General features: G+C 46.2%; 1 protein-coding gene across 1 annotated transcript in view, besides 7 other annotated features; it reads right to left on the reverse strand.

Moving 5' to 3' along the window:
- FAM174B (family with sequence similarity 174 member B) overlaps nt 1–4735 on the reverse strand; it is a 38328-nt gene extending 33593 nt beyond the window's left edge. The window contains exon 1 of the mRNA NM_207446.3: nt 4276–4735. Coding sequence (NP_997329.2) covers nt 4276–4619 — 344 coding nt within the window. The 5' untranslated portion in view covers nt 4620–4735. The remainder of the gene's footprint in view (nt 1–4275) is intronic.
- Nucleotides 4112–4181: a silencer, noted in NCBI's record as "silent region_6840". NCBI's record gives its function as "represses an Ori minimal core promoter by ATAC-STARR-seq in GM12878 lymphoblastoid cells {active_cell/tissue: GM12878}" and the evidence as "EXISTENCE:reporter gene assay evidence [ECO:0000049][PMID:35858748]".
- Nucleotides 4232–4281: a silencer, noted in NCBI's record as "silent region_6841". NCBI's record gives its function as "represses an Ori minimal core promoter by ATAC-STARR-seq in GM12878 lymphoblastoid cells {active_cell/tissue: GM12878}" and the evidence as "EXISTENCE:reporter gene assay evidence [ECO:0000049][PMID:35858748]".
- Nucleotides 4382–4581: a silencer, noted in NCBI's record as "silent region_6842". NCBI's record gives its function as "represses an Ori minimal core promoter by ATAC-STARR-seq in GM12878 lymphoblastoid cells {active_cell/tissue: GM12878}" and the evidence as "EXISTENCE:reporter gene assay evidence [ECO:0000049][PMID:35858748]".
- Nucleotides 4862–4911: a silencer, noted in NCBI's record as "silent region_6843". NCBI's record gives its function as "represses an Ori minimal core promoter by ATAC-STARR-seq in GM12878 lymphoblastoid cells {active_cell/tissue: GM12878}" and the evidence as "EXISTENCE:reporter gene assay evidence [ECO:0000049][PMID:35858748]".
- Nucleotides 12310–12429: an enhancer, noted in NCBI's record as "active region_10116". NCBI's record gives its function as "activates an Ori minimal core promoter by ATAC-STARR-seq in GM12878 lymphoblastoid cells {active_cell/tissue: GM12878}" and the evidence as "EXISTENCE:reporter gene assay evidence [ECO:0000049][PMID:35858748]".
- Nucleotides 12810–12859: an enhancer, noted in NCBI's record as "active region_10117". NCBI's record gives its function as "activates an Ori minimal core promoter by ATAC-STARR-seq in GM12878 lymphoblastoid cells {active_cell/tissue: GM12878}" and the evidence as "EXISTENCE:reporter gene assay evidence [ECO:0000049][PMID:35858748]".
- Nucleotides 13347–13846: an enhancer, noted in NCBI's record as "H3K4me1 hESC enhancer chr15:93207617-93208116 (GRCh37/hg19 assembly coordinates)". NCBI's record gives its function as "activates a minimal SCP1, AML or CMV promoter by ChIP-STARR-seq in primed H9 embryonic stem cells {active_cell/tissue: H9 hESC(primed)}" and the evidence as "EXISTENCE:reporter gene assay evidence [ECO:0000049][PMID:30033119]".

Raw genomic sequence — 18588 nt, forward strand, 5'->3', positions numbered from 1 at the left:
GGAGAACATTTGGAAGAGACAGAGGCTCAACTATGGTAGAAAATGAAGAAATACAAAATAAAGCAATGAATACCAAATTATACCCATCAGATTGGAAAGCATTAGAAAGTAAGATAATACTAAGTGTTGGATATGATGTGAGAATCTGAGAACCCTCAGGCTCTGCAGATGGAAACCTACACTGGTGCCTGCTCAAGGAAATCAAGAATGAGCACCCCCTAGGATCCAGAAGCCCCACTCCCAGGTGTACACCCCAGATGCTCTCATACTGGTCCTCAGAAAGACACATCCAAGAATGCGGCCAGGAGCTGAGTATACACACAGGGATACTCAACATACACACATCATAACTACATGCTTCTGGATTGTAAAAGAATTCAAACTATGCAGAAACATATCGTGAATAATAAAAAAATATGATAATCACCCACATGCACAGACACACAGATTTATCTGCACATTCGTATATACATGTTTATAATTTATTTAAATGAGCTAATACTATACATGTCACTTTGTGACCTGTTTCAGACTCAAAAATATATAGCAAGTATTATCTCAATGTCATCATTTTGAACAGCTGCACAGTATTCTGCCATAAAGATTGCCATGATTTGCTTAACCAATGCCCAGTTGTTGGACACTTGGATTATTTAAACCTTTTCACTATCAAACAGAGCTTCTCTGAATATCATTGCACTTGCATCTTGGCTTTCTCTTCTAATCATTCACATTAGAAGCAAAGAATATATAGTGCAGTGGAAAATGTACATACTTTAAGAATGGAATCACTTGATTAAAAGTATACATCTTTTTCATTAAAAGACACATTCTTTGCTTCTAATTTCCTTGGATCCAATTTTTTTCTGTTGTCTGGTAAGGTGACTCCTTCAGAGAAAACAGAGAAATAGGCTAGGACTGCCATTTTATACGCAATCATACTTACTACACTCTCCTTTATCTACATTGTACAAATTCCTACCTCGCAGGTATCCAGCATCAGTCATGCAGCTAGTCTAGCACATTTTGAGAGACATCAGCAATGTAAAATCCTTGAGAGCTCAACATTCTTTTGCTAAAAATATCTTTATTAAATGCCAGCTTGTGCCTGGAACCACACTAGGTATTAGGGAAACACAGAAGATTAATGCCTAGTCCTGCTCAGAAGAAGTTCGGTGGCACTTGACTCTGAAGAGGGAATTCAAAAATCGAGTGTGCTTTGGAAGCACAGAGGGGCCCTAGCTGCAGAGGCTTCTCAGAGGAGGCAACAGCAACGAGGTCAAACAGCACCGAACTGACCACGCAGTCTTAGTGACAGAGGGGACTCCAGGCAGAGGGGTAGAGTGGGACAAGATGCTCAGGCCACGCAGTGCCTCCAGAGAACCCCAGGAAGTCCAGCAAAGCAGGAGGCGCACTGAGCAGAGCCGAGATGGGGGCTCAGGAGGGAGGCAGCACCCTGATCTGAAGAGTCAGCCTTGCCCACACATCAAGGAGTCTGTATGCAGGGAGAATTGGCAGGGAGGGGTAGAAGAAGGATGAGACAGGCATTCCTGCAGTTGAGGGAGGACAGACTGGAGAGGGACAAGGTTGGAGGCACGAACCCCAGCTTAACAGATATTATTGCAATTCAGGAGCGACAAGGTAGAAACGGCGGCAGGTGGCGAAGCTTCACTGGGGAAGGTGGTGTGGGCAGAGGTGAGACAGTCTCTTGGAGACTCAGGTGGTGGAATTTCCAGGACTCGGTGCCCGCAGGCTAAGGAGTTGCAGAGGGAGAAAGGAAGGAGGGCCCCCAGCCAGCAGAGCAGGCATTTGGTTAGCTGACTAACCAAGGTTACAGGGGAGCGTGGGACAGGGGAAAGGCCACAGTACAGACCGAATAGCACAGATGAGGTGCTGGCCCTGCCTTGGCTACACAGACTTGCAGAGTGTTCTAGAATCTAGCAATGACTTATTCCACTTCCTGGGATGCAACTTTCTCAACTGCAAAGAAACACATGGGGACTGTGCACCATCAGGGCCCTTGCAAGCTGTAAAATATTACAAAGTCCTCTCTAGATCAGAATCTGGGGTGGCAGCTGTCCACCTGAAAACTCACCCTAACAAGATTGCCTTCCTGGGAAGAGACGCAGATCATGTCCATAACCAGCTTCTCCTATGAAGTCGTAAACTTCTTTCAACACTCCACACCCAAGCTACTAAAGACCCATCTCTTCCAGGCTAGAGTGCTGGCTTACCCACTCCAACATGAGTCTCGCACCCCTCACATCTGGGTGCATGCTGCCTTCTTTTCTCCCCTACTCCTGAGTAATAAACAGCAGACTAGCAAAATTGTTCAAATACCTTCTAAAAAAAATACACAGCCTTGTGGACTCCAGGGCCTATTTTGAGCTAAATGTTTCAAACCTCCAGACTCAGAGCTGCTCTAGGCATTAACCTTCACTCCAACTGAACAATCAGGAAGTCCGTAGATGACAATGGCACCTCTGCTGAATGGCAGGCCCGCATCGGGCATGGAGACACGAAGATGAACTGGACTTCCCAACCTCAAGGGCCCTCTGCTGAGTGCAGAAGCCAGCATGGCATGGTTGGACTGAAGGATGCACAGATTAGGGATGAGGAGGTCAGAAAATAGTGACAGCCTCATTCAAATGTCCAGGAAAACTATACAGAGGAAGGAGGATGGGAGCTGGGCCTTGGTGGCTGCACGCACTTGTAGAATATAGAGGCAAGAATTAGGCTAGAAGCGGGAAACCACAGAGCATAAGGAGCAAGTGACAAGGTACTAGGCTCAGAAGCGCTGGTTGATGTCTGCGTTGCAGACGGGGGCCAGCTTGCAAGGGCCCCAAATGCCACACCCAGGTATTGCCATGCCTAGGTAGTGGCCACAGAGAGCTGCTAGAGTTTGTAAACAGAGGATTGAGGCCAGTGGGTAGAGTGGGAAGAAGACAGGAGCATTTCAACCCAGAGAACATCAAGGAGACCAGCAGAGTGAGGAACGATGTGGCCTGAGACAAGGCAGGGAATGGTGAGGTGAGCGTGGGACCATACTTCCCCTTTCTCCATTTTCTCAGACCACTGGCATCTAATCCTACAGACACAGAAGAAAACACCTGGACTCAAAGTCACACACAACTGACAGCAAAGCTCAATACATAGATGGCTCCTAACTCTGCCTTTTCCTGGTCTGGTTTCTGCTGTTGCACTGAAAATGCTACCAGGAGAGCAAGCCCTGAAGCCCAACCTGCCACAGCTGATCAAACACCAAAGCACTGTGTGTACGCTTGGAAGCAGAGGGAGGCAGCAGTGAACAGCTGACACACACACCCAGACTTCCAGGCGGGCCTCAGTAACAGGACAGGTTTGGTTCATTTCCTGCAAAAACAGGATTTCCCAGGCATTAAAGGAAATGTCCTTGCATTCCTCTTAGCCCTGTCCACCAGGATGGACAGGGATCAAGGACCTGGGACATCCTTCCTAATTTACCAGACACTTTATCCCTGAACGTGAGCAACCTACAAAAGGCTCTCCAAGATCCCTCATGCCCCTGTGAATGTTCATCTAGCGCAACTTAGGCAGGAGCCTAGGAAAGCCGTCTGTGTCCCCCACCAACAGAAAATAAGGGAGGCCACCAAGGGTCGCCTAGAATCCTGAAGCTCAGCTCCAACCCCTGGTGCAAAGCACCCCTCCAGCGTAATTCTGGAGGCAATTCTACTACCCCCCACACTAGAAACTGCTTCTTTCAGTAGCAAAAAAAAAAAAAAGAAGAAGAAGAAGAAGAAGAAAAAGTAGGCGGGGCGTGAGGGAGCTGCAGATGGTAGAAGGGAGAGGGAGTAGCGAGATTAAAGTTAGACAGGCCTGGGTTCAAGTCCTACCTCCACCACTGAGTTTACCTTAGATGAGCCATTTTGCCTCTCTGAAAATGTTTTCCTCATCTGTGAAATGATTATAAAAATAAATTATGGGAAACGCTGTCAGAATTCAGAGCGCTATTGTTAGTGTTCAGCATTAGCAGAAAGCCAACAAATGGGAACCACATATTTATTTTATATATATAGTTAAAGAGAGGAAAGAAAATTCCTAAAACATGTACCAGGAAAATCCAGACGAGCACACCCCGGCCCCCCACCCACTCTCCCGGGCAGGGCAGGAGGCACACGGCTGGCTGGGGCGCACCAGGGCACCTGTGCGTGCAGGTGGGGCGGGCGCGCGGCGACAGCAGGTTGGCGATGCCGCCCTGTCGGCCGGCGGGGGAAGGAAGAGGGCGGGAGGGCCCACCTGAAGACGCGCAGCAGCAGGCAGGCGATGAGGAGGGTGGTAAAGGCGAACGCCACGATCACGGCTGCCTTGAGGGTGGGTAGGTCGCGGAGGAGGATGGAAATGCGGGTCACCAAGGCGTCGCCACTGCTGTTGGAGCTGGAGCTGCCGCTGCCGCCCGCCGCCCCAGACCCAAACCGGGTGGTGTTCCCGGGCCCCGGGCCGGGCGGTGGCCGCGACTCGCGCTCGGGTTCGGGCCACGGCGCGGAGACGGACTCGGCTCTGCTGGCGCGGGCGGCGGGAGCGGCCAGGAGCGCGAGCAGCAGCAGCGGCAGGAGCGGGGCGGGCAGCGGCACGGCGCGCATAGTGCGGTGGGTCGGCACAGGATCGGGCAGGGCGCGCGCGGCTGAGCTCCAGGATCCGCACCAGCACGGAGGCCTGCACCGGGGGATCCTGCGGCGGAGGCGGCTGCGCGGTGCTTGGCAGGAAGCTGCGGCGCCCGGAAGAGCCCGCGCCACCGCCGCCGCCACCACCAACACGTTGCAAGGAGTCATTCGACGGGCCGCGGCCCCACGTGGGCGGGGCAGGCCACCCGGCCTGGGTCCCGGCTGCGCTCCGCTCGCCCGCGACCCCAATTCCTCGGGACTTGAGACCCCGTGGTGAAGCAGCAACTGCCACGATGACACTTGGGCTGGCCCTGTGTTACACGTTTCACGTGTTTTATTTATTTCATTTAATTCTACAACCCCCTTTGAAGACAGGTATTCTGTTACCCACATTTGATAGCTGACTTGGCACCCAAAGAGCCAGCTCACAGCAACCCACATTGTGTCAGACTAAGAATCAAAAACTATGGGACCTAGAAGTAGACTCCCATCTTGCAGATCAAAAACTGAAGCCGACAGTGAAGTGGTTGCCTGATGTCCTATGCAACGCATAATTTCAGTATCTCCCCTAATTTCCCTCTTTCTCAAAAGGGGTTTCTTATTTCATGCGCCTCTGCTTACGAACCGGACTGGGATGTGAATCTCTGCCTCTCATACCTTTGTTGTGGAACACCAGTTGGTGTGGTTAATGCCCCCCTGCCTGGCTGAAGTTTCTCCGGGGAATAATTGGCTTGCTGCCTCTGGTTTGTAAGCTAAATGATGCTTAGGTGGAGAAAGACAATTAAGGAAGTTCTAGTGGGAGGCCCAAAGGTGGAAACTGATGGGGACACAGAGCCCCTACCTGAAGTACTAGGAGCCATTCCCAGGGCTTCAGGGTTCCCCTTTTACACTGCAGATGGGTCCTGGCAGGAAGCTTTTCGGTGGTGGGTAAACAGTTAAATACACATGACATGACAAGGTCCCAGGGACCTTAAACAGCCCATTTCTGGTCCTGCTGGAAAAAGAGACAAATATAGTACAGTGTATTAGTTGTCTACTGCAGCATAACAAATTGCCCTAAAACCTAGCTGCTTAAAACAACATGCATTTAGTATCTCACAGTCTGTGGGTCAGGAAACTGACCATAGGTTACCTGGGTTCTCTGCTTCAGAGCCTCTCCCAAAGGTGCAATCAAGGTGTCAGCTGGGGCTGGGGTCTCCTCTGAAGGCTCAACTGGGGAAGGATCTGCTTCCAAGCTCAATCAGCATTTTTTGGCCAGATTCAGCCCTGCACTGGCTGTTGGACTGGAGCCTCAGTTTCCTTGGGGCAGTTGGCCAGAGGTTGCCCTCAGTTCCTTGGCATGGGGCCCTTCCAACATAGCAACTTGCTTCATCAAAGTATGCAAGTCAAGATAGCAATAGAAAGAGTCACCTACCAAGACAGAAGTCACTGTCTTATGAAACCTCATCACAGAAGTGACATTCTCACACCTTTGTCATATTCTATCAGTTAGAAGCAAGTCACAGGTTTTATCCACACTCAAGGAGAAGGAATTACACAACAGTATGAATATCAGGAAGCAGGGATCATTGGGGCCATCCTAGAAGCTGCCTGCCACCTACAGTGTAATTCATTTTGATCTGGGGGGATGGACAACAATCAGATTATCAGAAGTCATCATCCAGAAGGTACTTCTGAAATGCATGTTAAATATGCATTCCATGTTAAATATGCCCCAGTGATAAGAGATATGGATAGATCACATGATTTAGGTCTCTTCTAACTCTGAAATATCACCTTCTGGTATGTTAAAAATGTTGCATTAGTAGAGAGTCAACATCATCATATCAGTATGATAGAATATATAAAAGTAAGTTTTTAAAGAAACACCTCTGATTCCATGATTTTGGAGAACTGTTCTCCAAGGCATAAACCTCAGCTATCACAGCCTCTTATTTTTGTACTTATCAGAAATTCCTGCACGATACAGCAAAGAGGTCCTGGGCTTTGAGCCTCTTAGCCAGGATGAAAGGTTTGACCACTGAATGGCCTTGGCCAAGTATTTAACCACTGAATACCAGGTTTTTAATATCTGAAATAGGCTGGGCGTGGTGGCTACGCCTGTAATCCCAGCACTTTGGGAGGCCAAGGTAAGTGGATCACCTGAGGTCAGGAGTTCGAGACCATGGTGAAACCCCGTCTCTACTAAAAATAAAAATTAGCTGGGTGTGGTGGTGCATATCTGTATTCCCAGCTATTCGGGAGGCTGAGGCAGGAGAATCGCTTGAACCCGGGAGGCAGAGGTTGCGGTGAGCCAAGATCGCGCCATTGCACTCCAATCTGGGCAACAAAAGCAAAACTCTGTCTCAAAAAAAAAAAAAAAATCTGAAGTAGGGACAAATAGTACCCAGCTCAAGGCCACTGGAAGCTTCCATAGGACAGAGAAAATATTAGTGCTGTTTTCCTTATTTTGCCACAATTTGTGGACTGATGGTCTACATCAGTCATTAAACAATGCTTGATTGTTTAATGCTAACATCAAGAATGTAGAAAGCATAAATGTTAGACTTTTTTCATAACGTGAAACTTTAGAATCTTTCCTTCTAATCATTTGCTTACTTAAAAATTGCCCTCAATTAGAGTTCTTTAAAAACATTTTAATTCAAATAACCATAAACAAGGACATTTTTAACATGGTAAACGGGCAACAAAACCAAATCTGGTTGATTTCAGAGAAGGGGAGATTATTGGAAGCATGTCATGTTGCTTCCAGAATTGACTGTAAGCCAAAGCAGAAGTTCTAACAGTGGGATTTGTGGACTCCTGGGGTCTCTGAGACCCTTTCAGGGAATCTTCAAAGTGAAAACTAATTCAATAATGATAATAAGATGTTATGTGTCTTTTTCACTATGTTGACATTTGCACTAATAGTGCAAAAGCAACAGTGAGGAAAACTGATGGTGCCTTAGCACAAATCGAGGTACACAATATTCATAGTCGCTGTATTCTTCACAACTATACACTATAGGAAAAAAAAAAATCAGTTTCACTTTAGAATGCCCTTGAGGTAGCCATTAAATTATTAAATCTTGACCTTAAGATCATTTTAATATTATACATGATAAAATGGGAAATAGGAATAAATCACTTCTGCTGTACATTCATGCATAATGACTGACTCAAGAAAAAGCATGTTTACAATTCCTAGAGTTGCAAACTGAACTAGCCACTTTTTTCACGGAAGACCATTTTTAATCAAGAGAGTGACTGACAAACTTTACACTTGGTCTTTGGCAGGCATTTTCTCAAAAATGAGCAAAATGAGGCTGTCATTTCAAGGACACCCACTGCCAGTATTGTAGCCAATGATAAAATACAAGCCTTCAGGTGAAAATTGGAATTTTTAAGAAAACTTGTCAATTGGGATGTTTTTGCTATGAGCTTGACAGCTTCCCAATGCTTCAAAATTTTTCTGATGATCTTGGTGGCGATATTTAAAAGTATGGGTTTTTTATATTATGTAATGAAACATATCAAAATTTGACATATCTGCATAAATTTTTCCAAATGGCCAATGCACAGTGTTACAAAATCATTTCTGAGTAAATGATCCACTCAAAGTATAAGACAGACCAATAGACTCTGATGAAACAAAATATAAAATATTCATTACTATGGTTTCATATTCCACATTGCAAATAATCTTTAAGAAACTACAACCTGCAAATTTTGGTATAGTATCAAAGAAGAATCTCCACAACTACCTGAAAAGGCTACTAAAATTTTCCTCCCTTTTCTGACTAAATATCAAGGTGAGGCTGGATTTTCTTCATGTTCTTCAACCAAAACAACAAACTGCAACAGATTGAATGCAAAAGCAGATGTGAGAATCCAGCTATTTTCTATTAAGCCAGACATTAGAGAGATTTGCAAAAAAATGTTAAAGAAAGGCATGCTTTTCTCTAACATTTTTGTTTTAGAAAATTAGTTATTTTTCATTAAAATATCTCTCATTCTTTTTTGGTAGAAACAGGGTCTTGCTATGTTGCCCAGGCTGGTCTTGGATTCCTGGCCTTAAGCCATCCTTTGGCCTCAGCCCCCCAAAGCACTGGGGTTACAGGCATGAGCCACTGCACCCAGCCAAAAAATATCTTATTGATGTTAATGTGTTATTTTTGTTTTTAAATATTTTAGACTTCAGTTTAATTTATAATGCAGCAAATATCAATATGTTTATTGATATAAAACAAAATAAACAAAAGCTCTTCGAGGTCCTCAATATTTCTTAGCATGGAAAGGATTCCTGAGACCAAAAAGTTATCTAAGAAATGCTGACTTCAGAGAAACAGGCTTAGGGAAACAAAACCAAACCAAACAAGCAAACCAATTAGGATATTTTCTGCTATAAGAAACAGAAAACTCACTTGAACTGACTTAAATAAAAAAGGACATTTCACCCCAATTACTCTGATGTGATTATTACACATGTGATGAGAACATCACATGTACCCCATGAATATACACATGAATATGATGTACCCATAATATTTTGAAATTGTTTACATAAAATGTTTTTTTAAATCACATTGTACCAAAAATAAAAAATAAAAATGAAATATCTTCTTGCACATAAAGGAAGCGCCTGGGAGGAGAGGTTTAGGATTGGTTGATTCAGCCATGTGCATGATGTCAAGGGTCCTGGATCTTTCCATCTCTCCACTGCTGGCCGCAGCACTGACTTCAACCTTAGAAGGGTGGCCGCCTGGTCACAAGATCCACAAGGATGGCTGGAGTGGCAATCAGGGTGGAATGCTTTCTTGCTCACATATAGCAGGTGAGAGAGGAAAATACTTTTTCCAACTATGGAACATAAACCCTCCTCTCAGTCTGATGGGTCCATCTTGAGTTACAGCCAGGGGGCTATCATGCCCTGATTGGACTAGACCTGCCTTGGAACTAGGGTTGGGGCGCCCCCCTAGGAAAATTAAAGAAAAAGAAAAGGTTGTGTTAGGAACAAGGAAGGGGAAGACATAGATACTGAATAGGCTACAACGCCCATTCCAACAAGCAAGAAACAAGGAACTGAGTCTGTCTGGATTTGTAGAATCAAAGCCCAAATCAGACCCAGGAAGGATCTGGTTAGGAAACAGCACTGTCCAGCAGATGTCTCGTGGGCTCCGCCATTACCACTGACTCCTAAAGCCACCAGACAGTAGATGCCACTGCTGTGACCACGGCTCAAAGAGTGAATTTTTATTTATTTATTTATTTATTTATTTATTTATTTTATTTTATTTTATTTTTTTGAGACAAGGTCTCACTCACTCTGTTGTCCAGGCTGGAGTGCAGTGGCGTGATCTCGGATCTCGGCTCACTGCAACCTCTGCCTCCCAGGTTCAAGCGATTCTCCCACCTCAGATCAGCTTCCTGAGTAGCTGGGACTACAGGCACGTGCCACCACTTTTTGTATTTTTTGGTAGAGAGAGGGTTTCACCATGTTGGCCAGACTGGTCTCAAACTCGTGACCTCAAGTGATCTGCCCGCCTGGGCCTCCCAAAGTGCTGGGATTACAAGCGTGAGCCACGGCGCCGGGGCTGGAAGAGTGTCTCCTTAACTTCCTGTGAGTTGCATCACTGGCTTGAAATTAAAGGTCCTAAAACGCAGCACCTGATTGGCTACCCCAGTCACGTGGCACTGTCCGAGAAGGGGAGAGGGCATATCCCACCCTCTTCATCTTCCAAACGGGAAGAGCAGGGGTCCTCCTCCACCAAGGATCACACCACTGAGGAGTCCACCACAATAAGGACATCTGGATGCGGGTAGCCAAAGCCAAAACTAGTAAACGGCCACTTCAAACACAGAGGAAAATTCTTCAGAAATAATTAGATCAAAAAAGGAAGTAGATAGTTTCTTAAAAATAAATACATAAATACAAGACAGGGTCTCGCTGTGTTGCCCAGGCTGGTCTTGAACTCCTGGACTCAAGTGATCCTCCTGTCTTGGCCTCCCAAAGTGCTGGGATTACAGGGATGAGCCACCATGCCCAGCCAAGGTGGGTAGATATTGATGAGAGAGATATAAAGATAGATAGATAGATGTTAGAGATAAACGATAGAGAGGTGATAGATGGGCATATAGGTAGAAGAGAGAAATTTATACATATTTTCTATATACTGTACATACATTCATATATGCACAATAAATACAAGTCATTTAATTCCAGTACACCACTAACTGTGTGATCTTGTTTAAACCTTATGCCTCAGTTTCCTCATCTGTAAAATAGGGCTAATAAGAGAACCTATCTCATGAGAGTATTTCAAGGACCAAATAAGTTAATACTTGGAACATGCTTAGCAAAATATCTAAACAATGGTTAAGTGCTCAGCAAATGTTAATTATTAATAAAATATCAGAGCAATGAAGAAGGATCACTGAAATGGCATTTAACTATAAATCACTTTTCCAGCCTTCAAGGTTCACCAATATCTGAGGGAGGGAGTTTCTGATGCCCTGGCTGGGACACCTCCAGGAGACAACAGCTATGGAGCAAAACCAGATCCCTGAGTTAATAATGCCTAAACCACCTTGGAATTCAGAGCAGGAACACCCTTTGGACACCTCTCACCTATTTGCTGTTTTATACATATGTAGCCCAGAGGAAATAGGTCTCAGTGAAGTAACCTAACTGTTTGGAAGACAGACATTCTCCATTCTCTGTGACTAGCAGCTGACTTAAAACAGAAGGACACAAGAAAATATATTGGAAGAAAATATACCAACATGGTTCGGTTTGGTTTGGTTTGGTTTGAGATGGAGTCTCTCACTGTCGCCCAGGCTGGAGTGCAGTGGCCGATTGTGGCTCATTGCTACCTCCACCTCCCAGGTTCAAGCCATCCTCGTGCCTCAGCCTCCCAGGTAGCTGAGATTACAGGCACGCACCACCACACTTGGCTAATTTTTTGTATTTTTAGTACAGACGGGCTTTCACCATGTTGGCCAGGCTGGTCTTGAATTTCTAGGCTCAAGTGATCCGCCCACTTAGGCCTCCCAAAGTGCTGGGATTACAGGCATGAGCCACAGTGCCCAGCCCCGGAAATATAACAACATGTTAATAGCAATTATCGCTAGATGTGTGATCATGGGGCATTTGTGTTGTCTTTACTGCATCAGACTTTACTGCAACAGACTCTAGGCTCTGTAATAAATATGTACTAATTTGGCAGTTTTCTTACATGCAGTACATATATTAATCTTAACTATTTTATTTCCTAAAATGAATATGACATGACTCACCTTTGTTTTTAACATACCCTCAGGCAAAGGGCTTACAAAGATGACCAGAGATCAAACTCTGGAGCATGCGTAAGGAGAATGTGAGAGGCAGACTCTCAGTTCCCGCTGCACCCCATACTGCTGACACAGTGTAGGGAAAATAATTTTTAAGGGTAGACTGAAGAGGGGTAAGGAAATTCCAGATAACAACGTCCACCATGCATTGAGCTTTGCAGGCATAATCACACATACCTTTCAACCCTATGGGAAATAGGCATTAGCATCTCTATTTTACAGAGGGGGAAACAGAGGCTTGTCAATTTAGGGACCTGAGAGAGGCACATGTGCATGGGCAGTGGAAGAAAGGTCTGGCCTGGTAAGGAAATCCCCTTCAGCCCTTGGAGAGTTATTTCTGTTCCAATTTGGAGAAGCTGCTGACTACACATCTACCTGAGGGGGACCCACAGCAAAGGAGTGGAGGGGAAGTCCAAGACGACTCAGCCAGAAACCCAGCGAGCAACCCCACGGAGTGTTCCAGCCCATCTTTCATTTCTTCCTAGACGTCACTAGCACTCGTCATCTGGAAGGTTTCTTCCCACAGCAACAGATACGTTTTGTGCCCCTGTTACGGGCTGGACACTTTCGGGAAAGGAATAAATATATTGCATGTGGCCTTTAGCCTTAAGCACAGCCATTCTGATTTGCAGACAAGACATGTTGACTGTTGAGCTAATCACTAGTAAATAAAATTTCCAGACCCAAGAGAAAAGGATGAGAAGGAGTAGAGGATCCGTCCTGAGTATATTCCACAATCATTGCTAGAGACGTTCAGATGCAAGAACTCATGTTGGCTGCATGCCCACTGTGTGCCACACTCACCTCACATGTGTCTCATTAGTCCTCACAGCAACCCTCTGTACCCCATCATAGCCTCCCCGGTTGACATGCAAGGAAATGAAGACCTGCGGGGTCCTACAGTGTCTGGGGCCAGACCAGCACCAGGGCACAGACCCCGAGCTCAGTCTTTCCAACTCCTAAGCGAGACTGGGGTTGTCTCCAAAGACAGTGAGGCATTGCTCCATTAGAAATACCCCGTCTCGCTCCACGGTGCTGGGAATATCAGAGAGTACGTTTGGAAAAGTAGAGCTGAGTAGTGGGAGAACCCTCTGCAACCCCAGTGAAACCTCCTGCGTGCAGGCCGCAAGCACTCGTGTAAAACGCAGGCCCCAAATACTAGTAAATGTCATGATCAAATCCACTTCTCAGACAGACTCCTTTACACACAGTTGTTATCATCCACATAATAAAAGGAATTGGATTTCCCTCGTTTGTCTTAAGTCTTTGCACAATTTCCTCCCACCTTTCCTGGGCCTGCTGGGAGGCTCCGCACAACCCCACTGGGTGGAAGGCAGAGTAGGCAGGGGAACCCTGGGCCTGGCAGTTTTGTTACAATACTGTGTCACAACACAGACAGGTGGGGTGGCCAGAGTCAGGCAGAGCGACACAGGGTGTGTCAGGTGGCTCTCTTGTCCCTGCCTGTGCACACACATGATGGAACCCTGGTACAGTAACACAGCATTCAGTTGAGACCGAGGAAAAATAAACGAGGGACAATTCATCCTAACCTAACTCAGGACAGCGGCCAACCCTCTGGTTTTGCCTGGGTCTGAGAGATTTCCAAGGATGCAGGACTGTGTTTTTAAAAGCAGGTTAGTCCCAGACAAACCAGGAAGAGCCGGTCAGCTCAGCTGACCTCTCTACCCTCAGGTAATGCAGCCCCTTGCCTTTATATTCTCCAGTCCTTCCTCAGCCCACTCGCTCACCCCGCCCCTCTGTGTCTCTGAGCAGCCAGGCAAGCTTGAATACTAGCTAATATTTATTGAGCATTTACTTAGCGTCAGGCGCTTTACATCAGGCCTAAGGAGAAAATACGGTTATCACCTCCTGTCACAGATGAAGAAACTGAGGCTGGCAGAATTAGTGTATACAAATAATTCCATAAAACCAGCTTCTGCGCACACTTGAGCTTATAAAAGGTCTCCATACTTTGCCTTCCCAAGTTTGCCAGAGAGAGGGAGACAGAAAAAGAGAGAGAGAGAAAATGAGTGATGAGTGAGAGAGAGAATGAGAATTAAAGGTCTCTCCCTCCATCCTGGAGGGGGACAGGCTGCATCTCAGACATCAGGCCCTCTCAAGGGATCAGAGGATCAAGCCCATCCTCCGCTTGCTCTCTGCACCTCGCCTGTGGAGCTGACACAGCACCAGCTGCAGCTCATTTTACTCCCCGCCAGAAACGAGGGTGTTATCATGTGATATTTTTGCCTCTTTTTATAAATAATTCATCCTTTTTTGCACAAAAGTAAGATAGCCTGAAGCTAGAACATTTAAAAGGAACGTCAGCCCCTTATACATAAACAATAAAGTGCTAGTTTGCCAGAAAGTTTGCGAAAGTCCCGAAGCTAAAATACACCTCGTTCTAGGTCTATTTTTAGCCTGGAAAAGGCTTTCCGATGTCTTTCTCAGTTCACACGTGATAAGGGCTGTGTTATGCTTTCTCTGAAATGGGGCTTTCCCAAATCAGTTACATTTGCACAGGGAAATCTAAAAGATAACTTGCCAAATAAGCATACTTATGAAATCCAAATCCCAAGTACACAAATGCTTTTTTTAACTCCACAAAAATAAATTATAAACAAATTGATAATGGAGTCTACGGTCAACCACGGCTATGAGAAATGGGGCCACAGATTGTTAACGTTTACAGGAGTCTTTTTCCCAAGACTGAGAGGGAGTTTTCCTTTGCAGAAGGATAGCAATTCTGGAGCTGGAAATTACAATCGTAAGAACAATTATGGGAAAAACAATTATGTTTGATGATAAGATTTGGGCCTCCATGTTATTGTGGGCTCCCTTATCCCCTTGATGTCATGCATTAGTTTGGTTTTTTGTTTGTTTGTTTGTATTTGGGACGGAGTCTTGCTCTGTCACCCAGGCTGGAGTGCAGTGGTGTGATCTCGGCTCACTGCAGCCTCCGCCTCCCGGGTTCAAGCGATTCTCCTGCCTCAGCCTCCCAAGTAGCTGGGACTACAGGCACCCGCAACCACGCCCGACTAATTGTTGTATTTTTAGTAAAGACGGGGTTTCACCATGTTGGCCAGGCTAGTCTCAAACTCCTGACCTCAGGTGATCCACTCGCCTCAGCCTCCTGAAGTGCTAGGATTACAGGCATGAGCCACCATGCCCAGCCTCATGCATTAGTGTTTTATGAGAAAGACATTTTATTTCTTTACCTAAAAGGATTTTTTTTAATACTAACATTGCTGTTGTCAAAATATCTTCAGAAGGACACATGACAGACTCATAATGTTGGTTGCCTATGGCAGAGGGTGACCAACCATCCCAGTCTGCTGGGGTTTCAGGAGTCTCCTGGGATGAGGACATTTCAGAGCTAAAACAGAAAGTCCTAGACAAAGCAGGACCAGTTGGTCACCCTACCTAGGCAGGGGAACTCTGGATGGCTGGAACAGGGGCAGGAAAGGGAATAGTAACTGTATCCCTTCATGCATTTGGAATGTTGAACTATGTAAACTTATTGCTGGTTAAAAAAAAATAGGTTAAAAATGTTCTGTCAGTATCATATGAGAGGACTCTTTTTAAATCAGTAGATCACTAAGCGTAGCAAAGAAAAGGTTACTGGACCTATGCAAAATTTATATCAATACATTTAAGGTCTGCTTTATTATTTCATTTGTTTCTGAAATATGTCCTCCAAAAGACTTCACAATTATTCACCAAAAAAACTCAAAAATTTGCAGTTCTTTAATCCTCATTCTCACAACACCAGGCCACTGAGGCTCACACTGTTGTTCCATTTTGAAGATTAGGAAATGGAGACCTAATGAGGTTATCTGACTTGCCCCAGGGTTGGAAATGAGCGTGCCATGCAGCCCGTGTCCCCAGGGCCGCCCTCTCCCGTGCTGGCCTACTTTACAGCTGGCTAGTATCGTCAAACCATGGAAACAGCGAGCTGTTGCCAAAGAGAAATATTTCTATGAAAGTTTCTGAAGTGTCCCCTAGGAGAGCCTGCAGACGTCAGTGACGACATAATATTGCTGACAGAGCCCTCCCCACCAATCGTGCTGCTCAGAGAGTGCCACCCATGGAGCAACTTTTTAGGAGATTCCCACAGGATGGAAAGTCCTGAGGTGCATACGTGGAGGGACCCCACCTTTGAGCTCAGGTGGACCATCTGTCCACAGTTCCTTTCACAGTGCAGTACTTTTCCCATACACATCAAAGTTGCTTTGGATCGAGAGGCGAAGACCAGCAGGGCAGAGCTAAGCAGGCCACAGACATCTTTCCCCAGAAAAGCTGAGGGTGAGAGGCAGGGCGGTTCACCCTCCGGATGGCTGTTTGTAAAGTAAATATTGATTTTGAGCCATCCCCCAACCTGCTCAGGAAAACACACCAGCTGTTGCTTCTGCCTGCAGCTCCAAGTGGCAGTCACTCCCATGTCCAGAAACATCCTCTCCATACCTGTCCCCACTGCAATTCCCACAGCTGGCATCGTCAGCCTCTCCGTGACAGTGGAGTTAGACCTCACGTTTGCAGGAATTTGTGTTTTAATTCCCAGGCAGAGCTCGGGCCTCTGAGGGTTAGGGACACAGAAAAGGTCAGTTTGGGGATGGCCCCGGGTGGATGGCTGTTTCTCCTGTTCCCCACAGTGTGGAGCCCAAACCTTCACCCCTGTGTTGATGCATCCTAGACCCACTTTGGACATTTCCACCTCACAAGTAACGTTGGCAGCCACTTCCCGAGAGGCGCTGCTCTGCGTTCCTGACCATTTTTTTCTCACTCCTCTCCAGCCTCAGGGATACACCCTCCTGTTTGAGACCAGCCCCCACACGTTGGCCCTGAGTTCAACCCTCCTCCACCTCCTCTGAGGCTCTGCTTCACGCATTACCTCTGCTTCCTCCTGTATCTTCACCCTCCAGTAGATATTTCCCATTCTGGTTTCTCACTGAGAAAGAAAAGAAAAGAGAAACCAAGAGGGAGAGAGGGAGAGAGAAAGAGAGAGAGAGGGGAAGAGGAGAGGGGAAGGAAGGAAGGAAGGAAGGAAGGGAGGGAGGGAGGGAGGGAGGGAGGGGGAACGGGAGGGGGAATGGGAGGGAGGGAGGGGGAGCGGGAGGGGAGAGCCTACAACTTTGTGTGTCTCCCTTTTGCCCTCCCTGAACCTCTAAGTGGCATTTGATGATGCCAGGGCTTCCTGCCTTGGAGGTCTCCAGTTTTCTATCTTCCCTCTGACCTCTCTGTCCCCTCTCTCGGGAGCTGGCTCCTCTCCCTTTTAACTCAGTCCCCAGGGCTTCCTGCTGAGTTCTTTTCTCACTCTGGCCCCTCTCCCTGGGTTCTCAGGTACCCAGCATGTCCCACACAAGATTCTTCATCGTTCCCCAAAACCTGCCCTACCTCCAGAGCTCCTACGCTCTGCTGGCCACCACACTGCACTTGGCGGAGGCAGGAACCTAGGGGTCCCCCTACAATCCCCCCATTACTAAGTCCTTCCTCTTCTCTCCAGAAACAGTCCAAATCCAACCACGAGTAAGTTAGTGTAACTTGTTTGTTTATACGTCTCTCAAAACACACACACACACACACACACACGTAATGTCCATCAAATCAGGAGTTGTGTCTGTTTTGTTCATTGGCTATTTCTTCATCAACCAGAAATGTATCTGGCACACAGTAAGTGCTCAATAAATGTTGCTGGACTGAATGGATAAGTACCTACTGCCGTAGTTTATAGCAAGCAACAGGAGTTGAGTGCACGTATTTAAAGTCAGAAGGCAAGAGCTGGAATCTTGGCTTTGCCATTTACTCTCAGTGTAACTTGCACTAAATTAAACCTTAAGTCTCAATTTCCTCACCTGTAATATGGGCATAAAGATAGCAGCTCACTTATCATTAGGATTAAATGAGATAGCACATGTAGAGAACTTAGCATAATAACTGGTACGTATTAAGTCATCAATAAACATTACATATTATGTTTCTTATTGTTGTTCTTTCCTGTCCTCATGTGTCACCTGTATTATAACATCCTTCCAACCGTTCTCCAAGACTCCAGGCTCCTCTCTTCAGGAGAATTCCCACCCTAACATCGTAATCAGAGTGATCTGTCCAAATGCAAAATCAAGCATAATACTCCCTTGCTGAAAACCCTTATGGGGTTTAAACTCTGCCAGTAGAGTCCTAATTCCTTAGTATGGGCCCAGCTTCCCCACCCCCACCTCCCAGCACCCCAAACTCTAAATTCACTAAACTCCTAGCTTCATCTACCCTTACCTCCCAGCACCCCAAACTCTAAATTCACTAAACTCCTAGCTTCATCTACCCTTACCTCCCAGCACCCCAAACTCTAAATTCACTAAACTCCTAGCTTCATCTAACCCTTACCTCCCAGCACCCCAAACTCTTAACTTTACTAAACTCCTTCCATCCGAGCCTTTGCCTAAACTGCTCCCTGGTTCTTCCACCAGGAATGCTCTTCCTTAACCCTCTCCTCTCCATTTTTTGCTTAAAGAACTCCTCCTAATCATTCTACAAACAAGACATAAGCTCCTTTGTGAAGATTTTGCTAATCTCTTCTGCACAATCCCCCACCACCCCATACAAATTCACCCCTGCCCACACACAT

This window comes from Homo sapiens, chromosome 15 (assembly GCF_000001405.40).
Source record: "Homo sapiens chromosome 15, GRCh38.p14 Primary Assembly".
Lineage (NCBI taxonomy): Eukaryota > Metazoa > Chordata > Mammalia > Primates > Hominidae > Homo > Homo sapiens.